At 42.6% G+C, this 19,785-nt stretch overlaps 1 protein-coding gene and 2 long non-coding RNA genes across 48 annotated transcripts in view, besides 7 other annotated features; 2 read left to right on the top strand and 1 right to left on the bottom strand.

Moving 5' to 3' along the window:
* Positions 1-19,785, bottom strand: part of FAM13B (family with sequence similarity 13 member B) — a 114,219-nt gene that overhangs the window by 81,279 nt on the left and 13,155 nt on the right. For 22 of the 46 annotated variants that reach the window (NR_169824.1, NR_169815.1, NR_169814.1 and 19 more), the window contains exons 1-2: positions 13,544-13,841; positions 1,793-1,959 (exon numbers count right to left, since the gene is read on the bottom strand). The gene's annotated coding sequence lies outside the window, so the exon portion shown is untranslated. Of the gene's footprint in view, positions 1-642; positions 740-1,792; positions 1,960-13,091; positions 13,486-13,543; positions 13,842-14,534; positions 14,632-14,762; positions 14,792-19,327; positions 19,416-19,785 lie in introns of those variants that run through there. The other 24 variants (NM_001385869.1, NM_001385866.1, NM_001385873.1 and 21 more) reach the window with 7 other exon arrangements.
* Positions 9,703-9,832: an enhancer, noted in NCBI's record as "active region_23190". NCBI's record gives its function as "activates an Ori minimal core promoter by ATAC-STARR-seq in GM12878 lymphoblastoid cells {active_cell/tissue: GM12878}" and the evidence as "EXISTENCE:reporter gene assay evidence [ECO:0000049][PMID:35858748]".
* Positions 11,154-11,655: an enhancer, noted in NCBI's record as "H3K4me1 hESC enhancer chr5:137366081-137366582 (GRCh37/hg19 assembly coordinates)". NCBI's record gives its function as "activates a minimal SCP1, AML or CMV promoter by ChIP-STARR-seq in naive H9 embryonic stem cells {active_cell/tissue: H9 hESC(naive)}" and the evidence as "EXISTENCE:reporter gene assay evidence [ECO:0000049][PMID:30033119]".
* Positions 12,870-12,929: an enhancer, noted in NCBI's record as "active region_23191". NCBI's record gives its function as "activates an Ori minimal core promoter by ATAC-STARR-seq in GM12878 lymphoblastoid cells {active_cell/tissue: GM12878}" and the evidence as "EXISTENCE:reporter gene assay evidence [ECO:0000049][PMID:35858748]".
* Positions 13,030-13,913: an enhancer, noted in NCBI's record as "NANOG-H3K27ac-H3K4me1 hESC enhancer chr5:137367957-137368840 (GRCh37/hg19 assembly coordinates)". NCBI's record gives its function as "activates a minimal SCP1, AML or CMV promoter by ChIP-STARR-seq in primed H9 embryonic stem cells {active_cell/tissue: H9 hESC(primed)}" and the evidence as "EXISTENCE:reporter gene assay evidence [ECO:0000049][PMID:30033119]".
* Positions 13,420-13,489: a silencer, noted in NCBI's record as "silent region_16385". NCBI's record gives its function as "represses an Ori minimal core promoter by ATAC-STARR-seq in GM12878 lymphoblastoid cells {active_cell/tissue: GM12878}" and the evidence as "EXISTENCE:reporter gene assay evidence [ECO:0000049][PMID:35858748]".
* Positions 13,500-13,549: a silencer, noted in NCBI's record as "silent region_16386". NCBI's record gives its function as "represses an Ori minimal core promoter by ATAC-STARR-seq in GM12878 lymphoblastoid cells {active_cell/tissue: GM12878}" and the evidence as "EXISTENCE:reporter gene assay evidence [ECO:0000049][PMID:35858748]".
* Positions 13,536-19,695, top strand: FAM13B-AS1 (FAM13B antisense RNA 1). Its single transcript, NR_037900.2, has 2 exons — positions 13,536-13,714; positions 16,955-19,695. It is a non-coding gene; the product is annotated as an FAM13B antisense RNA 1 (long non-coding RNA).
* On the top strand, positions 13,901-15,435 carry LOC124901077 (uncharacterized). Its single transcript, XR_007058952.1, has 2 exons — positions 13,901-14,013; positions 14,257-15,435. It is a non-coding gene; the product is annotated as an uncharacterized LOC124901077 (long non-coding RNA).
* Positions 17,021-17,230: an enhancer, noted in NCBI's record as "active region_23192". NCBI's record gives its function as "activates an Ori minimal core promoter by ATAC-STARR-seq in GM12878 lymphoblastoid cells {active_cell/tissue: GM12878}" and the evidence as "EXISTENCE:reporter gene assay evidence [ECO:0000049][PMID:35858748]".

Consider the following 19,785-nt stretch of genomic DNA (forward strand, 5'->3'; position numbering starts at 1 on the left):
GTGTTCTCATCTATTTAAATGTTCCAGTTAGCAGGCCCATAGTGTGTTCTACAGATGAAGTTCAGTACAATTACCTAAACATATTCCCTATTACGAAGAGTTAGTGCTGAATGCTCCCTTTAGTGTTTGCATACTTATCAAACAATAGCAAAGTTAATCATCAAAGATTTAGCAAGAGGCATTAATGTCCCAAAGACAAATTAAGGAGCAAATTTGGCTCCAAGAAAACCTTTACTGAACAAGCTTATTAATGACACAGGTAAATCCAAACCCGTTCTGGACTGTGCCATATAAAGCTCATCTAACCCCTCAATTCATAAGCCCAAACAGGAGAGAATCCTTTTTAGAAAGTGCAGATCTAATAACCACTTTTTATAAATGATGGGCTAATAAGAACAAGATTAATGAGTTCTTATTTCTACATGATAAAGCAGCTGTAATAAATTTTTTTTTTTTTTTGAGACGGAGTCTCGCTCTGTTGCCCAGGCTGCAGTGCAGTGGCATGATCTCGGCTCACTGCAAGCTCTGCCTCCTAGGTTCATGCCATTCTCCTGCCTCAGCCTCCCAAGTAGCTGGGACTACAGGTGCCTGCCACCACGCCCGGCTAATTTTTTTGTATTTTTAGTAGAGATGGGGTTTCACCGTGTTAGCCAGGATGGTCTCCATCTCCTGACCTCGTGATCTGCCCGTCTCGGCCCCCAAAGTGCTGGGATTACAGGCGTTAGCCACCGCACCCGGCCTGTAATACATTTTTATAAAAAAGAAATTTTTCATTTCTGGACATCAACTTTCAATAAGAGATGTCCTTTTATCAACACTGTTATTTCTTTTTATTTTTTGAGACAGAGTTTCGCTCTTTTTGCCCAGGCTGGAGTGCAATGGTGCAATCTTGGCTCACTGCAACATTCACCGCCTGGGTTCAGGCGGTTCTCCTGCCTCAGCCTCCCATGTAGCTGGGATTACAGGTGTGCGCCACCACGCCCGGCTAATTTTGTATTTTTAGTAGAGACGGGGTTTCACCATGTTGGCCAGGCTGGTCTTGAACTCCTGACCTCATGTGATCAGCCAGCCTCAGCCTCCAAAGCGCTGGGATTATAGGCACAAGCCGTTGTGCCTGTCCTTAACACTGTTATTTCATAATTATCCAAAAGAAAAATTTTCAGAGCCATCTAGTTCAGAAGAAATAGTTATTTGTCCTAATTTTGTAGGAATTGTGATCAGTAAAGAAGTGGGAGAAAACAATGTCTCAGATGGCCATTTCCAATATCTGACACATCAGAGAACAAGTAATCCTAAGAAAAATTTATTTTCTAAAATAAACACATTACACATTTATTACTTTACGTAGGAAAAGAGTATTTGTAAAAGAAAGAAAAACTCAAAGGTTGATAATGAACAAAATGACACCAGCTGGTATTTTTTCCATCACCCTAGAAAAACAATTTCTTTCTCACTGCAAGAGAAAAAAAGCAAATCACAAAAATAAGTCTACTAAAATTCCTAAGTTTACAAAAATAAGGTCCACTGGATCAAGTGTATACCCACTGGATCAAGAATGTCACAACATGACTAGGAAACAATGCAGCCAACTTAAAAGAAAAAATTAACTTAAGGATAGCAAAATGCCATACATTTACATAGTCTCAGACAAGCAACATCCATTCTTCAATGTATCTGGTGCCAGCTAAGAACTATAAAACCTCAAGTTAAATCAAATAGCAGCTACAGGGGCAAGTTCCAAAATCTCTATGGATTTATAGAGCACGAGATAGTTACCATTTTGAAAACTTACCTTTCAGTACTTAAATACCTAAGTTTAAAAAATGGCTTCTGCACCAGCTACCCTCACTGAGCAAGCATTCTTTTGTCATTTATGGCTGTTTGAGATTATGGCAGAAGATCAGCCTGTAGTTCCTCATTGAAGAAATGCAGAACTCGATCAGTACTTCAGCAGTTAATCTACAAGACAAAAACAATTATTTCAATTTCCCACATCTTTAACTGTCAGAAGAGACTATTAATAGAAGCAGCAGTACAGTCCTCTTAAGAGGTTACCTATATTGAAAGGTATTCTTCTGTCTGAAAAATCTATCTGTAACCTAAAGGCAAAACCTTGCAACGGTTTCAGATGATGATGGAAAATTGGAGAAGAATCTTCCTGCTGAAGATAAATAAATAAACGAATTGCAAAGGAGGATATGTGACAGGACACATCTTCAAGGACTACACCATTCAAATAATCCATTTTCCTCAATTATGTGTGGACACCCTACCCCATCCCATTCCTTCCTCATTTCCTCACATACTCAGAACTAAACATGGAAGTATTTTCAAAAGATCAAAGAATCAAAGATATGATTTAAGCTTGCTACTATACTTAAGTACTTTCTTCTTTTTTTTGTATACAACATAGTGGTTGCCTGAGCTCCCTAATTTAGAGAAGCGATAGCATATGTTGGAAAAGAGCAAAAAGAACAGTCCCAGAAAGATTTAGATTCAATTAATAACTCCGTCATTTTGTAGACACATGATGGTGAACAACTTCCATGTCTCTGAGCCTAGGTTTCTTTATATAAAACAAGAAACTACCTGTACAGGCCAGGTGCATTGGCTCATGGCTATAATCCCAGCACTATGAGAGGCCAAGGTGGGAGGATCACTTGAGCCCAGGAGTTTGAGACCAGCCTGGGCAATATAGTGAGACCCCATCTCTACAAAAAAATTTAGAAATTAGCCAGGTATAGTAGTGCCTGTAGTCCCAGCTACTTGGAAGGCTGAGGCAGGAGGATCACTTCTGCCAGGAGGTGGAGGCTGCAATGGGTTGTGTTTGCACCACTGCACTCCAGCCCGGGCAACAAAGTGAGATCCTGTCTCAAAAAAAAAAAAAAAAAAAAAAGAATAATACCTGTACAGCTGTTAAGTTTAGTTTAACTGAGATAACATAGGTATGCAGTAGATAGAGAACCAGTCTCCTCTCTCTTCTTTGCATAATGCTAAAAGACCAGCAATTAGACTAGAGAGAGAGAGAAGAACTTGTTTGGCAAAGTGTTTAATATTTGGTCTCATCATCCTTTGTGAATTCTAATGGTATCATTATCCTCTGTGAATTCTAGTCATCTATTAACAAATCTTTTAATAAGCTCAGTAAACTACACTGCAGGACTCTGCCCAAGAAGCTTCAGGTAAGCAGAAGAGTAATATTAATCAGTGTGGTTTTCAAAGAAGTGTTATTAGTAACATACACCTCCAGGAGAAACATTAAAAACTGAAGGGAAGGAAAACCACATTCCCATAACAAATCTTTTAGTTGATTATTAGTTGCAAAACATCCTGAAATGCCTGCTAAGACATGTAGTTAATCTACCTATCTATCCATTTGAAAACAATTTCGAAGTTAACTTCAGAGATAAGTTATTTAACAGACTTACACTAAAAGTCAAGCTGATATCCTCATGACATAAAGGGGGATTTGCTTGATGTACTATAAATGAAAACTCACTACAAAAGTCTGTCAGGGAGCAAGTTTTATACATCACTAAAATGGCTACTCAGTGTTTAGAATGCCTTGTTAATGAAATCAAGAAGCTATTTTCTTTTTTTTTTTTTTCGAGACAGGGTCTCACTCTGTCACCCAGGCTGGAGTGCAGTGGTGCAATTATGGCTCACTGCAGCCTCAAACTCCTGGACCCAAGCAATCCCCTGCCTCAGCCTCCCAAATTGCTGGGCCTACATGTACACACCACCATACCCAGCTGTATTTTTAGTAGAGAGGAAGTCTCATGTTGCCCAGGTTGGTCTCAGACTCCTGGCCTCAAGCAATCCCTCCCACCTTGCTGGGATTACAGGTGTGAGCCACTGCTCCCAGTCAGGAGCCTATTATCTCATCTCATGACCTCTACTACCTGCAACCTCTAACTAGACAACCTGAAAGCATATTTTTCTAAGGTGAGGCTGGGTAGGAATCTATGAATTCATCAGTAAAAATTTACCCTTGATACTAGGAAAACAATCGGAGGCATCAACCTTTCTGACGACAAGTTTCTCTTTCTCCTGAGGATGTTGACGGATATAGCAGCAACAAACATTAAATGAGCAGTTATGATATGCCAGGCAGTTCCATGCACTTTACATGTATTAAGGTATTCTTTAACCCTTAATTAGACATTGCAAGGCTCACCAATTTACCCACAGTCCACCCAGATAATAAGGGTCAGAGGCAGAATATGAAACCAGAGAATGTGATTCTCAAAGTCCTTGAGCTCTTAATCACTATACTATTTTTTCATGTAAATTATCACAATTTATAGTATGATAGAATGTCACATTCTGGCGCTCAAACTGGCCATAGTCTTTTTCTTTTTTTGAGACAGGCTGGAGTACAGTGGCATATGCGATCACAGCTCACTGCAGCCTCAACCTCCCCAGACCTACGTGATCCTCCTACCTCAGCCTCTTGAGTAGCTAGGACTACAGGCGTGGGCCACCACACCCGGCTAATTTTTGTAAAAATGAGGTTTCACCACATTGCCCAGGCTGGTCTTGAACTCCTGGGCTCAGGCAATCCACCCACTTCAGCCTCCCAAGGTCCTGGGATTACAGGCATGATCCACCATGCCCGGCCTCAAAGTCTTATATACATTTTAGGTCATCACTTACTTCTAGCTTGCGAACAGGTACTTCCAGAGGGCAGGCCTATGGTCCAAACCCCAGGAGCCAATCTTTCACTTGGGACTTGTATCTAGAGCACATTGCTGAGAACTCTCAGACTGGAGAGTGGCCCAAGGTAACATTTCTGCAAACTGCAAAGTAGTTGACATTATTTAGTCCTGTTTCCTACCCCTTTTCAGAGCTTAAATCACATAAATATTCCCTTCACATCTGTGGTGGGTTGAATAGTGTCCCCCCCAAACCTCATGTCCACCAAGAACCTCATAATGTGACTTTATCTGGAAATAAGGTCTTTGCAGGTGTAATTAGTTAAGGATCTCAAGAGGAAATCATCCTAGATTTAGGGCAGGCCCTAAATCCAATGACTCATGCCCTTATAAGAAGAGGACAAGATACACAGAGACACACAGAGAGAAAGAAGAGCATGTGAAGACAGGGAGAAACTGGAGTTATGCTGCCAGAAGCCAAGAAATGCCAGGAACTACCAGAAGCTGGAAGAGGCAAAGAAAGATTCTCCCCTAGAATCTGCCCTGTGGACACTTCCTTTTGGGCTTCTACCCTCCTCAACTGTGAGAAAAAACTTCCTACTATTTTAGAGCCACCTAGTTTGTAGCAATTTGTCATGAAAGTCCTAGAAAATGAATGCAACACCTAAACTACAATATTACATTCTAAAAAAAAAAAAGAAAAAAAAGGAAAACAGCAGCAGGCACCGTACAAAAATATACCAAAAAGATCTAATAAAATGTCCTAGCAGATAGAATCAATAAAATGTCGAGAAAGCAGTTCAATAAAAGGATTGACACAAGAGAATACAATGTGTGGACTTTCAAAATAACCAAGTATTTCCAAAAGCATACTGTTATAAATCTAAACAGCAAAATTTATACACACACACACACACACAGAGAGAGAGAGAGAGAGAGAGAAAGAGAGAGAGAGAGAGTTTTTTGAGTTTGTTTTTTTTGTTTGTTTTTTTTTTGAGACAGAGTCTTACTCTGTCACCCAGGCTAGAGTGCAGTGGCATGATCTCAGCTCACTGCAACCTCTGTCTCCTGGGCTCAAGCGATTCTCGTGCCTCAGCCTCCTGAGTAGTAGAGATCATAGGCACGTGCCACCATGCACGGCTAATTTTTTTGTATTTTTTGGTAGAGATGGAGTTTCACCACGTTGGCCAGGCTGGTATCGAACTCCTGACCTCAGGTGATCTGCACACCTCGGCATTACAGGCATGAGCCACCACTCCCAGCCCCAAACAGCAAAATTATTTTAAATACAAGTGACAGTTGCCTAGCATGGTGTTATTGACAAGGAATAGGAAATTACATTGAATTTTACATCATATACCTCACCATGAGATAACAGTGATTACAAACAAAGCCATATATATATATATATATATATGTATTTTTTTTTTTTTTTTTTTTGAGTTGAGGTCTCACCCTGTTGCCCAGGCTGGAGTACAGTGGCCCAATCATGCAGCCTCAAACTCCTGGGCTCAAGCAAACCTCCCACCTCAGCCTCCTAAATCACTGGGATTACAGGCATGAGTCACTACTCCCGGCTCAGAAACAATGCAATTAAACACCAATTATCAATAAAGTTGGGTGACATTCAAGAAAGTGCATCTTCATACACCAGCTATCAACCTAAGTTCTACAGGGACTCAAGGTACTTTTGCATTCCATTCAATTTCATTTACATATACAAAAATACACATACATAGTAGCAGCACACACACCCCTTTTTCCCCCCATGGGCTGAAAAATTTAATATTGTTGAAATATCCATACAATCCAAAGTGGTCTACAGATTCAATGCACTCCCCATCAAAATTACAATGACATTCTTCAAAGAAACTGAAAAAGCAACCGTAAATTTTGTACAAAAGCATAAAAACCCTGATTAACACAAACAATCCTGAAGAAAATGAACAGAGCTGGAGGCATCACACTAGCCAACTTACAAATATACTACAGAGCTATATTAACCAAAACAGCATCTACAATCAACTGATTTTTGACAAATGAAACGTACCTTTCTTAATAGCACAGAATCTTTACACTTTAACTATCTACTAAAATTAGTAGTAAGGGGCTTTTAAAAAGGGGTAGAGCACCAATATCAATACTATAGATAATAATAGCAGACAGCATTTGCTGAGCTCTTACAATATGCCAGGCACTATTTCAAAGACTTTAACTATATCAACTCATTTAATCCTTACAACAACCCTAAAGGAGGCAAATACTTTCATTATATCCATTTTACTGATGAGAAAACTGAAACACAGAACTTTTTGAGGTGATGAAAATGTTCTATGTCATAACTGTGGCAGTGATAGTTACATATGAATATATTTATTAAAACGTATTGAGCTGGACATGCTGTTGTATATAAACCATACTTCAACAAAGCTGAAGAAAATGAAAAAAGAGGCCAGGCATGATGGTTCACACCCGTAATCCCAGCTCTTTGGGAGGCCGAGGTGGGCAGATCACTCGAGCTCCAGAGTTCGAGACCAGCCTGGGCAACATGGCAAAACCCCGTTTCTACAAAAAAGTACAAAAATTAGCTGGGCATGATGTCATGCGCCTGCAGTCCCAGCTACTCGGGAGGCTGAGGTGGAAGGATCACTGGAGCCCAGGGAGGTAGAGGCTTCCAGTGAGCTGTGATCATGCCACTGAACTCCAGCGTGGGCACCAGAGAGGGACCGTGTCTCAAAAAAAAAAAAAAAAAAAAAAAAAAATTGGTCAGGCACTGTGGCTCACACCTGTAATCCCAGCACTTTGGGAGGTCGAGACGGGTGGATCACCCAAGATCAGGAGTTCAAGACCAGCCTGGCCAACATGGTAAAACCCTATCTCTACTAAAAGTAAAAAATTAGCTGAGCATGGTGGCACACGCCTTTAATCACAGCTACTCAGGAGGCTGAGACAGGAGAATCGCTTGAACCCGGGAGGCGGAGGTTACAGTGAGCCGAGATCGCGCCATTGCACTCCAGCCTGGGCAACAAAGAAAGACTCCATCTCAAATAAATAAATAAATAAATAAATAAATAAATAAATAAATAAATAAATTAGCGAAGTGTGGTGGCACACACCTGTAGTCCCAGCTACTCAGGAGGCTGAGATGGAAGAATTTCTAGAGCCCAGGAGTTTGAGGCTGTAGCGAGCTGTGACTGCACCACTGCACTGGGCCTGGGCAACAGAATGACTCAAAAAGATGTGCCAAGAAAAAGTGCCACATTGAAGTAAAAAAGTTCTACCTTCAAATAGAATAGGAAGAAACAATAAAACTCACATTTGCCCAAATGCTTTGACAAAATAGGATACAATTCACATAGAAAGGTTTAAAAGAGCTATCTCACTACTTGTTAAAGCCAAAAAACTACATAAATACATCCCTATTATCACTGGTATACAAAGTCAGAAAAGCCAGCAGGAAGCTGGGTCTCAATAAAGATGATAGAGATTTATAAGTTTGTAGACTATTGCTAATTTGACTTTACATCATTAAACCAAAACTAAAAGAAAATAAACTTATGCCTGCTCTAGACATTCAGCTTCTTACTAGCTGGGGCTCCAAATAATTCACTGAAGCAAAAGGCACCTCTTTCATTCTAACTGAACAAGTATGGTACAACAAAAGTGGCAAATATGCTAACTTAGTGGTTCCCTCCTGGCCTGAGAAACTGACCAAAGCATAATTTGTCTGACATACTTAACAGAAAAGCTGAACGAATGTCTCAATAGTGCATAAACTTACCTATCAAATGTTCATAGACGCTACTTTGATCAGTGATACGGTTTGGCTCTGTGTCCCCACCTAAATCTCATCTAGAATTGTAATCCTCACGTGTGGAGAGAAGGAGGTGATTGGATCATGGAGGCAGTTTCTCCCATGCTGTTCTCGTGACAGTGAGTTCTCATGAGAGCTGATGGTTTTATAAGGGGCTCTTCCCCCTTCACTTCCTACAAAGGCTCTCTTGCCTGCTGCCATGTAAGACATGCCTGCGTCCCCTTCCACTATGATTGTAAGTTTCCTGGAGCCTCCCCAGCCATGTAGAACTGTGAAACAATTAAACCTCTTTTCTTTATTCTGGCAGTTCTTTATAGCAGTGTGAGAATGGACTAACACAATCAGGAAAACACCAAATCACTTAATCTGTTATTAAGTTCATACTGGCTTGGCCATTAAGTAATTTATCAGATACAAAGTATAACTAATACAGAATTCAGGACTAGAAAGTTTTTAAATTAAAGAGGGCTCTATTGCTTAAAAGATTGGGAATTTCACTGCTTTAAAAAATAAAACCAAAAAAAAGAGTAGAAGCTATTTCTTGCAACAACGTGGGAAATATTAATATACCTTTTCTCCACTGAAAACATGCACAGGCAAGGCCTACTAGACTGATAAGAGTAAGAAGACTAGTTTATCATTTTTCATAGCTCGTTAATACGAAACTACAATACACTTCATTTTTTCAGGTAAGGGGTATTATGCGTAATTCTACAACTTGGTCTAGCCAGATAGGTCCCCTGAGATTAAAACATTTCTCTTTTTGCACAGACTTGTATAAAAACTGAAAAAAAAAGGGAAGCTGGTACATGAACAAAAAAGCAGTGGTTAAACTTTTTTTGTATATCTTCCCCACTAGATTGTGAACTTTGACCATAAAATACGCAAAAAATGGCCAAGTGCAGTGGCTCCTGCCTATAATCCCAACACTTTGGGATGCTGAGGTGGGCAGATCACCAGAGGTCAGGAATTCAAGACCAGCCTGGCCAACATGATGAAACCCCATTTCTACTAAAAATACAAAATTAGGCCAGGTGCAGTGGCTCACGCCTATAAATGCCAGCACTTTGGGAGGCCAAGGCAGGCGGATCACCTGAGGTCAGGAGTTTGAGACCAGCGTGGCCAACATGGTGAAACCCCATCGCTACAAGAAATACAAAAATTAGCCAGGCATGGTGGCACATGCCTGTGGTCCCAGCTACTTGGGAGGATGAGGCAGGAGAATCGCTCGAAGCCAGGAGACGGAGGTTGCAGTGAGCCGAGATCGCCGCCATTGCACTCCAGCCAGGGGGACAAGAACGAGACTTCGTCTCAAAAAAAAGAAAAAAAAAATGACTTCATTTTTGTTTCCCCAGTTGAACACTAAATAGCAGAACCCCAATACTGAAACTGATGCTACCATTTCCAGTGTACTTTCCAGTTCACTCTCCAACTGAATCCTCCAACCATCCGGTGAAATAAGGAGAATGGATTACCCTTCCTTTTCTCAGAAGAGGAAGCAAGCTCAGAGAGCTGAAGAAACTGGTTCAAAGTTACTGAATTAGCAACTAGAACTCTAAGTCTACTATCTTACAAGTAGATGCCCCTTCTAGGCAACAACTACAATTCTCAGTGAAAATTTTGTTTAAAATGTCACTGAAATACATGAAGCCACACCAAGAGTAATTCATAAAGCACTTAAATACTTTGTAGTTGCTGGAAATGTTTTGCAGTTGCTGGCCAAAGATCATTATGGAAATACTACTAGAATATTTCCTCTCAATAGAAAAAGAGAATATTTTACAACAGTAATAGTTTCAAAGTGATTCTACAACCAATCATAATGCAGTCTGCTTTTGCTATTGAAAAAAACTCCCATCTTACCTAATTCTAAATTTCAGCTCCTTTACACCTTTCCAAACACTAAATCCAACGTGACCAGTGTTTGCTCCAAATTAGGACCATAGAGAACCTCCTCCACCTCCCTGCTCACCCCAATGCAAAATGATATTCAGCACCTACTATGTCAATCAACAAGCAGTTTTCAGTTTTATTTTTACTTTTACTTTTCAATTGTAAAGAGCAGCAGCTTGACACACAAAAGCAAAAAGTAGAGAAATATTTTCAAGAATAGGTAAACAAAACTGAACTTTTTCTATTCTGTTCCTGAAAAGGGCAATAATAGAAACTTGACAGACATCGCTCTTAAAATTAAAGCAAGAGATAAGAATCTTTATACATTATATATACAAGGAAAAGAAAATATACACTAGAAGCTAGGTAATAACTTGAAATAAAAGACTTGCAATATTTCCTTCTCTAGTAGAAATCTAGTAAATGTCATCAAATTATCTTGTCAGCTTACCACATTTTCCTCAGCCTAGGTCTTTTATACTTGCTAGTTCACTGACCTGGAACACTCTCCCACGCTTCCTCCTTCCTATCATCAGTTCAAGTCCCATCCTTGGAGAGGCTTTCTTCAACCCACTCAAACTAATGGTCTCATTTATTAATTTATCTAGGGTGTGGCGTTCCTTGGCTCCAAAATATTCATCACAGGTTTCTTGTTTTGTTTTTTGAGACAGGGTCTCACTCTGTCCCCCAGGCTGGAATGCAATGGCATCATCACAGCTCACTGCAGCCTCAAACTCCTGGGCTCAAGCAATCCTCCCACCTCAGCTCCCTGAGCAGCTGGGACAACAGGAGCATGCCACCATGCCTGGCTTTTTTTTTTTTTTTTTCTGTAAAGAGAGTCTCCCTATGTTGCCCAGGCTGGCCTCAAACTCCTAAGCTCAACTGATCCTCCAGCCTTAGCCTCCCAAAGTGCTGGGATTACAGGCGTGAGCCTGGCTTACCACAAGTTTTATTACATATTCATTTTGTGTTTGTTTAATGTCTGTTTCTACCAACAGAGTATAAGCTCTCCAAAGTCCACCAGTGGGTTTTTAAAAAAATACATTTATTAAGGTATAATTTACACACTAAAATTTGCACTTCAGCCTGGGCAACAAGAATGAAACTCCGTCCCCCCCCCCCAAAAAAAAAAATTGAACGTAAGGCTGGGCAAGGTGGCAAGGTGGCTCACACCTGTAATCCCAGCACTTTGGGAGGCAGAAGCAGGCAGATCATCTGAGGTCAGGAGTTTGAGACCAGCCTGGGCAACATGGCAAAACCCCGTCTTACAAAAAATACAAAAATTAGTCAGGCGCAGTGGCAAGCACCGGTAGTCCTAGCTACTCGGGAGGCTAAGTCAGAAGAATCGTTAGAACCTGGGAGGCAGAGGTTGCAGTCAGCCGAGATTGCACCACTGCACTCCAGCCTGGGCGACAGTGATGCCCTGTCTCAAAAAAAAAAACAAAACAGTAATTTACACTATTATAGTCCCCAAATTTAAAATTTGAATACGATGATGGAGGAGCTATGCAGCGATGGATTGAGGTTATTCATAACTGATTATAAAAGCAGTTATTTTATTGGTGGGGAAACACTGACAAGTCAACAGATTCATTTCAGCCATTTTCTCTCCTAAAACAATGACATTCTAATAAAAAAAACTAACATTTACACCACCCAATGAATTATGCCACTGCAATATGCCCTTCTACATTTTCCAAGAACTTAAGCTGTGTCACACACGTGTCTAAATTAGTAATAAAATTAAACTGGAGAAACTATTACTCCAATTTTAAAAGCAGCACGGATTAAAAAAGTAAGAAGGGGGCAAGGCACGGTGACTCACGCCTGTAATCCCAGAACTCTGGGAGGCTGAGGCAGGCGGATCACTTGAGGTCAGTTCAAGACCAGCCTGGCCAACTTAGTGAAATCTGATCTCTACCAAAAATACAAAAATTAGTCAGGCGTGGTGGCGGGCGCCTGTAGTCCCAGCTACTCAGGAGGCTGAGGCAGGAGAATCGCTTGAATCCGGGAGGAGGAGGTTGCAGTGAACCGAGATCGCTCCACTGCACTCCAGCCTGTACGACAGAGCGAAACTGTCTCAAGGAAAAAAAAAAAAAAGTAAGAAGGCGCTCCCAATGGATATACAAATAATTATCAGTCCATTCAATTCCATCAACAAGCACTTAGTAAATGCACAGTACCTGTGAGAAAACCAGGCCAACAAGCATTTCAAGGTTACCAAAAAAGGAAGGTTGAAAATAGCCTCACACTAACCCAGCTCTAAAAAGACAAATAATTCAAAACCACCCTTTAATGTCTGTCTCTCTAAACAGGTGCACCCCAGTTAATGTTAATAGTCTGCATTACTACTGGTAATGATTCTGGCTACCATTTTAGATTATCAGATCCTTCAAAGTAAATGCCCAACTTTTTTCACTGATTAGAAGGCGAAACGGGGAACCAAATGAAATAATCCACCGTCTTTCTAAAAGTCAGTTTGATTTTAACTGATTACAAACAAAAAGGGCTTAACAGTTTCCCACTGCGCAAATGTGCCAACCGATTCCTACAACCTCATCTAGGAAACCAGGCGTGCCACGCGAACCCTAATGCTATACAAAGTGTCCCCCTCCAGCCTGGCCTATGCAGAGCGCATTCTAGACAAGGCCCCAGTGCACCAACAGCCCAATTTTGGCTATATTCTCTGAGCGATTTAAGGAAGTCCGCAACCACTCATCTCACGTGACCTTAAAAAGGGGCGCAGTTGAGCCCAGAATAAAACACACTCCTTTTTCTTCTACATCAACTTCACTGCCCAGCATGAAGGAAGTGGGCGGGGAAGAGGCGCAGCGCCAGCGGGCAGGAGAGGTCAGCAAAGAAACGTGGGGTGTCGCGCCATCTACTCTGGAGGGGCTGGAGGTGAGGGGCACGCCCGCTCAACTGCACTGCAGCCGCTGCAAATCCAAGGCTGCCACACCCCCCGGCAGCCAGGGACACGGCTTCATCTTCCTCTTTCTCCAGCGGAAAGGGGGCCCTCTCCACGGAACGCCCCACCTGCTAGAGTCCTCCACATCCCGAAACGCAACGCCCGAGAGCAGGCGCGGGTGGCAGGCGGCGCTGGGGGGCAACAGGAGGGGAAGGGCCGCGGCGACCTGCAACCCGCGCATGCGCAGATCCGGGTACCCGCCCGTTTACCTACCGTTGGAACCGCGATGCCCCGTTCCCTGGCCGCGGCCGCTTCTCCAGGACCCGCGGCGACGGCAAGAGGGCGAGAACTGAGGCCCCAAGTGGCTCCGCGGCCGAGAAGCCTCTTCCTGGGGCGGCCGCTGACGGGAGGTTAAAGCTACGGCTGTGGCGCGGGGCCAGCCCGGTAAGCGACCCCCCGGATACCCCCGGCGGTGGTGGCGACGCAGACGCGGAACAGGGGGAGAGAGTGGCGACAGAGGCGGCGGCTGAGGTGCAGAGCCTCCCTAACGGCGAGCGGGAGGAGAGCGGCTGGCGGGCGGAGGCCGGGCCGGACGTGACGTGCGTGGGAGGGGGCGGGGCAGGCCGCTGGTGGGGGCGGGGCGGCGAGGGTCCCCACCCCCACAGCATTCCGGGCAGCGGCCCTGTGTCCTGCAAGCTTGAGGACCGCGGTTCCTCTCCCACCAATTGGGGTCCTGAATTAGGGTGCGAGCAGCCAGGCGCCATCCCGGGGCGGGTTGTGGGGTCCTCGGTATGGGGAGGTTGGGAAACAGAGAGGACACTGGGGAGAGGAAAGATAAAGGGAAAATCCGGAACACAGAGATCGCTTCTGGTCTCTGCGGAGGAAGCCAGGCCCCCAGGGCGCCCATATCCAGGTGAGGAGCACAGAGACCTGAACCGAAAACCGCTGGGGGAGACCTAAGCGGTGACTTCGGTTCCCATTCCCAGAGATGTGAGTTAGATCCGGGACCACGGGGCTGCACCTGCGTCCTGCCCGCCCCCACCCTACCCCTTCACCTCAGGACCTGACCTAGACTCCAGAGAGAACAGTAAGGCTTCGGTGCCTTAGTCTGGGACTGTGGAAGTCGATAGGCTGCGGGCTTACAGGGAGCTTCGTATACTAAAATCAGCCAGCTGCGGAGGCAGAGCTGAAAGGAGGCAGAAAGAATGAGCTCTCTGAACTTGCATGGCTACCCAGACCATCCCTACAACTCCCTTGAACTCACAAGGGTATGAATATTCAGCCAATCTCTTCTTTGTTATAGTCTGTTAAGGGCTTTGAGATCTTCCATTTGGACTCCTTGACAGCCGGTAGATCAACACCTGCACAAAAAATAGCAGCCACCACAATTCAGTTGTCCCTTACCTACCTGAGCTGGAAGTTAGTAACTTGGAAAATGTAAAACAAGAACCCTCATAGAACTTGGGACAAGATTTGAAAAAAATAAAGTTACCCTATGAAATGATCTGTAAATGGGCTACAGAGGCCACAGTGTCTCCCACATTTCATCAGAGAGAGTAAACCATGTGTAACCTAAGTGTCACATACCCAGTTAATGCTGTCATAACCGAAGGGTGGGGTCCACAAAGAGTCTAAAACCAGAAGAATCTGAATAAGAATGTTCTATGAGGCTCCCAGGAACTCTGTCCAGGAACGAGGCAACTGATTCTAATGACCAGAACCAACACTTACTCTCAGGGCAGTTAAATCTTAATTCAGATTCACTCACTCATTCAACAGATACTTAGTGAATGCTTACTATGTTCTAGTCTCTTAAGATACGTCAGTAAATCCCTGCCTTCGTGGAGTTTATATCCTAGCAAACCTAAATTCTGGATCTCCGTTAAGAGCATACAAAGGCCCATACTCTGATTCCAAACTCAGCTAGTAGCCTTTCCATCATTCAGGGAGTCTCTCAAATAAATCTACATACCCAATAAGAAGGGATTGTCCAAGGCATATAACTAGGACTAGTTATACTAGCTGTACAGTTTTTGTCAATAAATTCATATCATGGTTTACAAATCGGACACTGTTCACTGGGTTGAATTGTTTTATCCGAATTAATTTCTCAGAGCCTATTTAAACTTGAGCGAAGTGAAATAAAAGTTTCCAAATCTGCCAAACAGGATCAACAGAGCCTGATTTCAGAGCAGCCCAGTGAAGATGCAGTCTGTGCATTTAGCCTTGTATCTCTCTTTAAATATCTTAAATGAAAGCTTTACCTGTGATTCCATGCTTGGAGAACAGGAGCAATATGATTGCTTCAAAAGCTTTATCATAAGTGCGTAAAAGTCTTGAGAGTAAATCCGAAGAGAGTTAAAAACCTCCTCCGCCTGCCCCACATATGCAACACAGGCTCTTGTTGACATAACTGACTGTAATAAATACTTTGCTCTGAATATGAAACCTAAGATGTAAGCTCCCAGAGGGAAGGATTCCCTTGCCTTTTTTTTTTTTTTTTTTTTTTTTTTTTTTTTGGTGAGACAAGGTCTTGCTCTGTCACTCAGGCTGGGGTCCAGTGTCTGGATTATGGCTCAATACAGCCTCAACTTCCTGGCCTCCAGCAGCATTCCTACCCTAGTCTCCTGAGTAGCTGGGACTACAGGGACATGCCACCATGCCTGGCTAATTTTAAAATTTTTTTAGAGATGGGTTTCCCTATGTTGCCCAGGCCTCTCTTGAACTCCTGGCCTCAAGTGATCCTCCCACCTCAGCCTCCCAAAGTGCTGTGATTACAGGCGTGAGCCACCGTGCCCGGCCTCCCTTGCGTTTTTATACCCTACCCACAAAGTATGGGATCTCAAAAAACAAATGAATTGATCAATGACCATTTTCCCCCTCAAAAACTGCAGAACATATTCTTGGAAGATATATTCTCTAGATCCTACTTGATAATATAAAAACAGTATGTTCAACATAGGGGCCACATGGGCTATAATTCAAAACAAACACTTTTATTTTGTATCTTTTGCCATGCCTTTCAATTTGTGCAGTGGGAGTAGATCTGTCATGTACCTAATTGAAAACTCAGGCAGGTTCCATGAGTTTTTAGGGGTTCTGTGGTCTCCTTAGGAATAGAGTCCTGTTGTCATTGAGTCACAAAGAGTGAAATGTTTTCCTCTTTTTCAGCTGGGAACAGTTGTCTCATTGCTTGCCCTAAAGAGGGGACCATAGTCATCTTTAACCTGCCTAGTCTTTCTCCTCCCGGCTTAACTAATCATAACCAAATCTGGGGAAGGCAGGGAGAAAAAGGAGCAGGAAAGTTGTTAACTTTGTATGATGGTTTGACATTCCCTGGGCATGGTAGATGCTTAAAGCTGACTTATTTTTTCATGGATACCTCAGAGACTACCACCATCCCCCTTCTCTGGTGGTTTCTCCCCCATAATTCTATTGGTCTAAGCGTAAAGCTATTTTGGCAGTTATTTACTTCTTTCCACGCACCTCCAACTACTTGTCTGTTGAAACCTGGGCATCTCTGTAAAGGCCCTGTCAGATAGGATCTGAGATGACTCTCACACTCGTCCATTTGCAAGTGACCCTTTATTGTGGGACAAGGTTGTGCACTCCGTACCCTAGGGGGTGCCATTCACATCATTCTCACTGTAGTTCTGTATGTTATTTATTTTAATGTTTTTCCAGCAGGTGGCAGTAAAGTGTTTTGTCCAAACTAAATTACAACGACTGCTTCCCAATAGATGGAAGCAAAGCGTCTGGACGAAGGAGAGCTTTTTTCTCATGGTGCTGCTGTGTTAGCCTAGTGACAGCTCTGTATGGCCCACACCTGGTCCACAGGAAGCTCTCAGGCACCTCTTGCCCGAACAAACTTGGGAGTACAGGCTAATCCCAGTGCAGATTCAACATTCCTCTACTCTGCTGCCAAAACAGCCGCCAGCCTGTGGGAGTCAGACACAGGCCCACGGTGCCCCTCAGACTGCAGGAGGTACAAGTCAAGTGCTCTGAGCAGATCCATTGAAGGCCCACTCCCTCGACTTGAAGTAAAAGGCAGGCAGGCACCTGTGGTAAGAATCACAGCTCACCAGCAACAGTCTCCAAAGACATTGTCCTCAATAATTCTGGTTTGGCCTTTTATAACTAAATAACTGAGTATTTAATCTACCTGCTTTGTCTAAATCCTCTGAAATTTCTAGAGGGGGTCTATCTCAGAAATTACTTTAGTTTTTTGGTGGATGGAGGGAAGAAGATGGTTTCTTTTATAATAATCTTGTTGCTTCAGTTAAAACAGTGGTTCTCAACTGCGACAATTTTGGGGGACCATGTGTGCAGACATTTTTGGTTTTTTTTTAAACTTTTTTTTTCCTTCTGAATTCAGGATCTGCTGAATACAGACATTTTTGATTGTCACCACTGGAGAGGTGCTATTGGCTGGTGGGAGAAGGTCAAGGATGCTGGTAAACATCCTTTACGGCACAGGACAGCCCCTACAGCAAAGAACAGCAATTCTGTTTGTTACAGAGATGAGAGAATACCTCACTAAAAGAATACTTCAAAATTACATCACTTTTTCTTCTTTTTTTCCTACAAATTCTTTACCTGTAGATGGAAACGTCACATTTCAATATATCAATAGAGTCAAAAATAGCATTTGCAATAGCTATTTGGCCAGGATGAGAAGTGACTGGTATAGACCAATCCTTTGTGTTTCCAAGACTCCTTCTGGAGATGAGGCCATGCCAGGAAAATTACTACTTGAGATAAAATTGTTATTTATTTGCAAGATGACTTTTAAGCCTGGAAAACAAGCATTCTATCCCAGCTTATCTGAACAGAGGCATTATGCCTCTCAGAAGTAAGGTCATGAGTCACATCACTGTGGAAGGAATATATCTTTGCTACAACCTGGACTGCATTCTAGATGCCAGGGAGGACCTCAGCATATCTGCCTCCCCAAGGTCACCAGTGTCACTGGAATGAGACTTGAAGTCAGGAAGTAGCTGTCTCTGCAGTTACTTTACAGATGGCTAATAATGCCCTCATTATTCACAGAGAATGCAAATGGGTTCTTCCATCCTTTACATGAGTTTGACTGAATTCATCTCTTCCAGATGTAGCAGGATGTTGAGCCCTTCCCTTGCACCATCAGTAAGGAAACTTTTAATCAGGTGTTTTCCTTACCGTTACTGATCTCCCTGAGCAAGGCTGTTTGAGTACTGGGATATAGATTAACTTGAGTTCAGTCAAGGCTGCCTTGTCTTTCTTAATACGATGTTAATAAGAAACGAGCCACCCTAGCCAGAAAAGCCAAAAAGATATATTCTATCCCCACCAATTCTATCACTTAAAAGTAAAATAGATAAAACAAACATTCCAAGTTCCAGTTCTAGCCCTGTTACTAGCCTTTTGACTCTGGTCAAGTTACTTAACTTAGTTGTACCTTAGATTCCCCATTAGTCAAATAGGGAAACAGACTTAAATGAATTGGTATGCATAAAAGTGCTTTATTAGCCATATACAATTTTTTCAGTTCCCTCTCCTATACTGCATTCAGAGGCCTAGAGAACAACCTGAAAATGTCTTGCTTTCATATCTGGATTTATTGCCAGGAATGAGGCCCAGTGTGAACACCTTTCTTGACAGAAATTGCCAAATCTTTGTCTATCTATTTGTAAATGAAAACCAAGAACCACTAAGAATTCCCCCAAACTCTCGGTGCTGGTTTTAAGATCTTCTGAGCCTTGTAAGTTACAGTAAATACAAGCACATCTCTTCCCCAATTAGAAGCATATTTACACTGCCCATTTGTAGAACAAGACATGACTGTAAATACAGATAGGAAGCCATCATTACATGCAGTCTTGTGTGCAGGGAAAAACAAGTGCATATGGAGATGAGATTGTGACTACTCTTGATTCTCACAGAGCAGTAAAATGCTATCAAATTCAGTCAAACTCAGCTAATGAATTTTCTCCTTGAGGTAGTCTCCTCTACTGGGAAGAAAGGAAGAACTAAAAACACATCAAATTTAAATCCTCTGGTAAAAGAGAAGCAACTCACCATTAGAGAGATGTATTGCTGGCTCTTCCAAGAAATGGAGTGGAAATCTTTCTGTGCCACTTTGCCCAGGACCATTGTGCCAGTGTGCAAGAATGTGTGTTTTTCATAAACAGAAAAATATCACTAGCTGCAAAGAGAAGAAACTGTTCCAGGGTGTACAAATCCCACGCCAACCTCCAAAATAATGGCAAATACTGTTCTGATCTTAGCAACCCAGAATAACCTTTGTGCCATTTATTTATTCAACACATATTTCTTGGGCAGCTATTATGGGTCAGGCACTGTGCTAGGCGATATGATCATGATCTCTGCCCTGGAAAAGCTTCATCTTACATATCTCTGGAATAAAATATTTTGGTGGAATAGAACCAAAGTTAACATAATGTGGATTTCAGCTTCTATATTCACTCATATAGCCACTGGTGCCAGTCACATCCAGTTTGGAGAGCTGGAACAAT

This window comes from Homo sapiens, chromosome 5 (genome assembly GCF_000001405.40).
Source record: "Homo sapiens chromosome 5, GRCh38.p14 Primary Assembly".
In the NCBI taxonomy this organism is placed as follows: domain Eukaryota; kingdom Metazoa; phylum Chordata; class Mammalia; order Primates; family Hominidae; genus Homo; species Homo sapiens.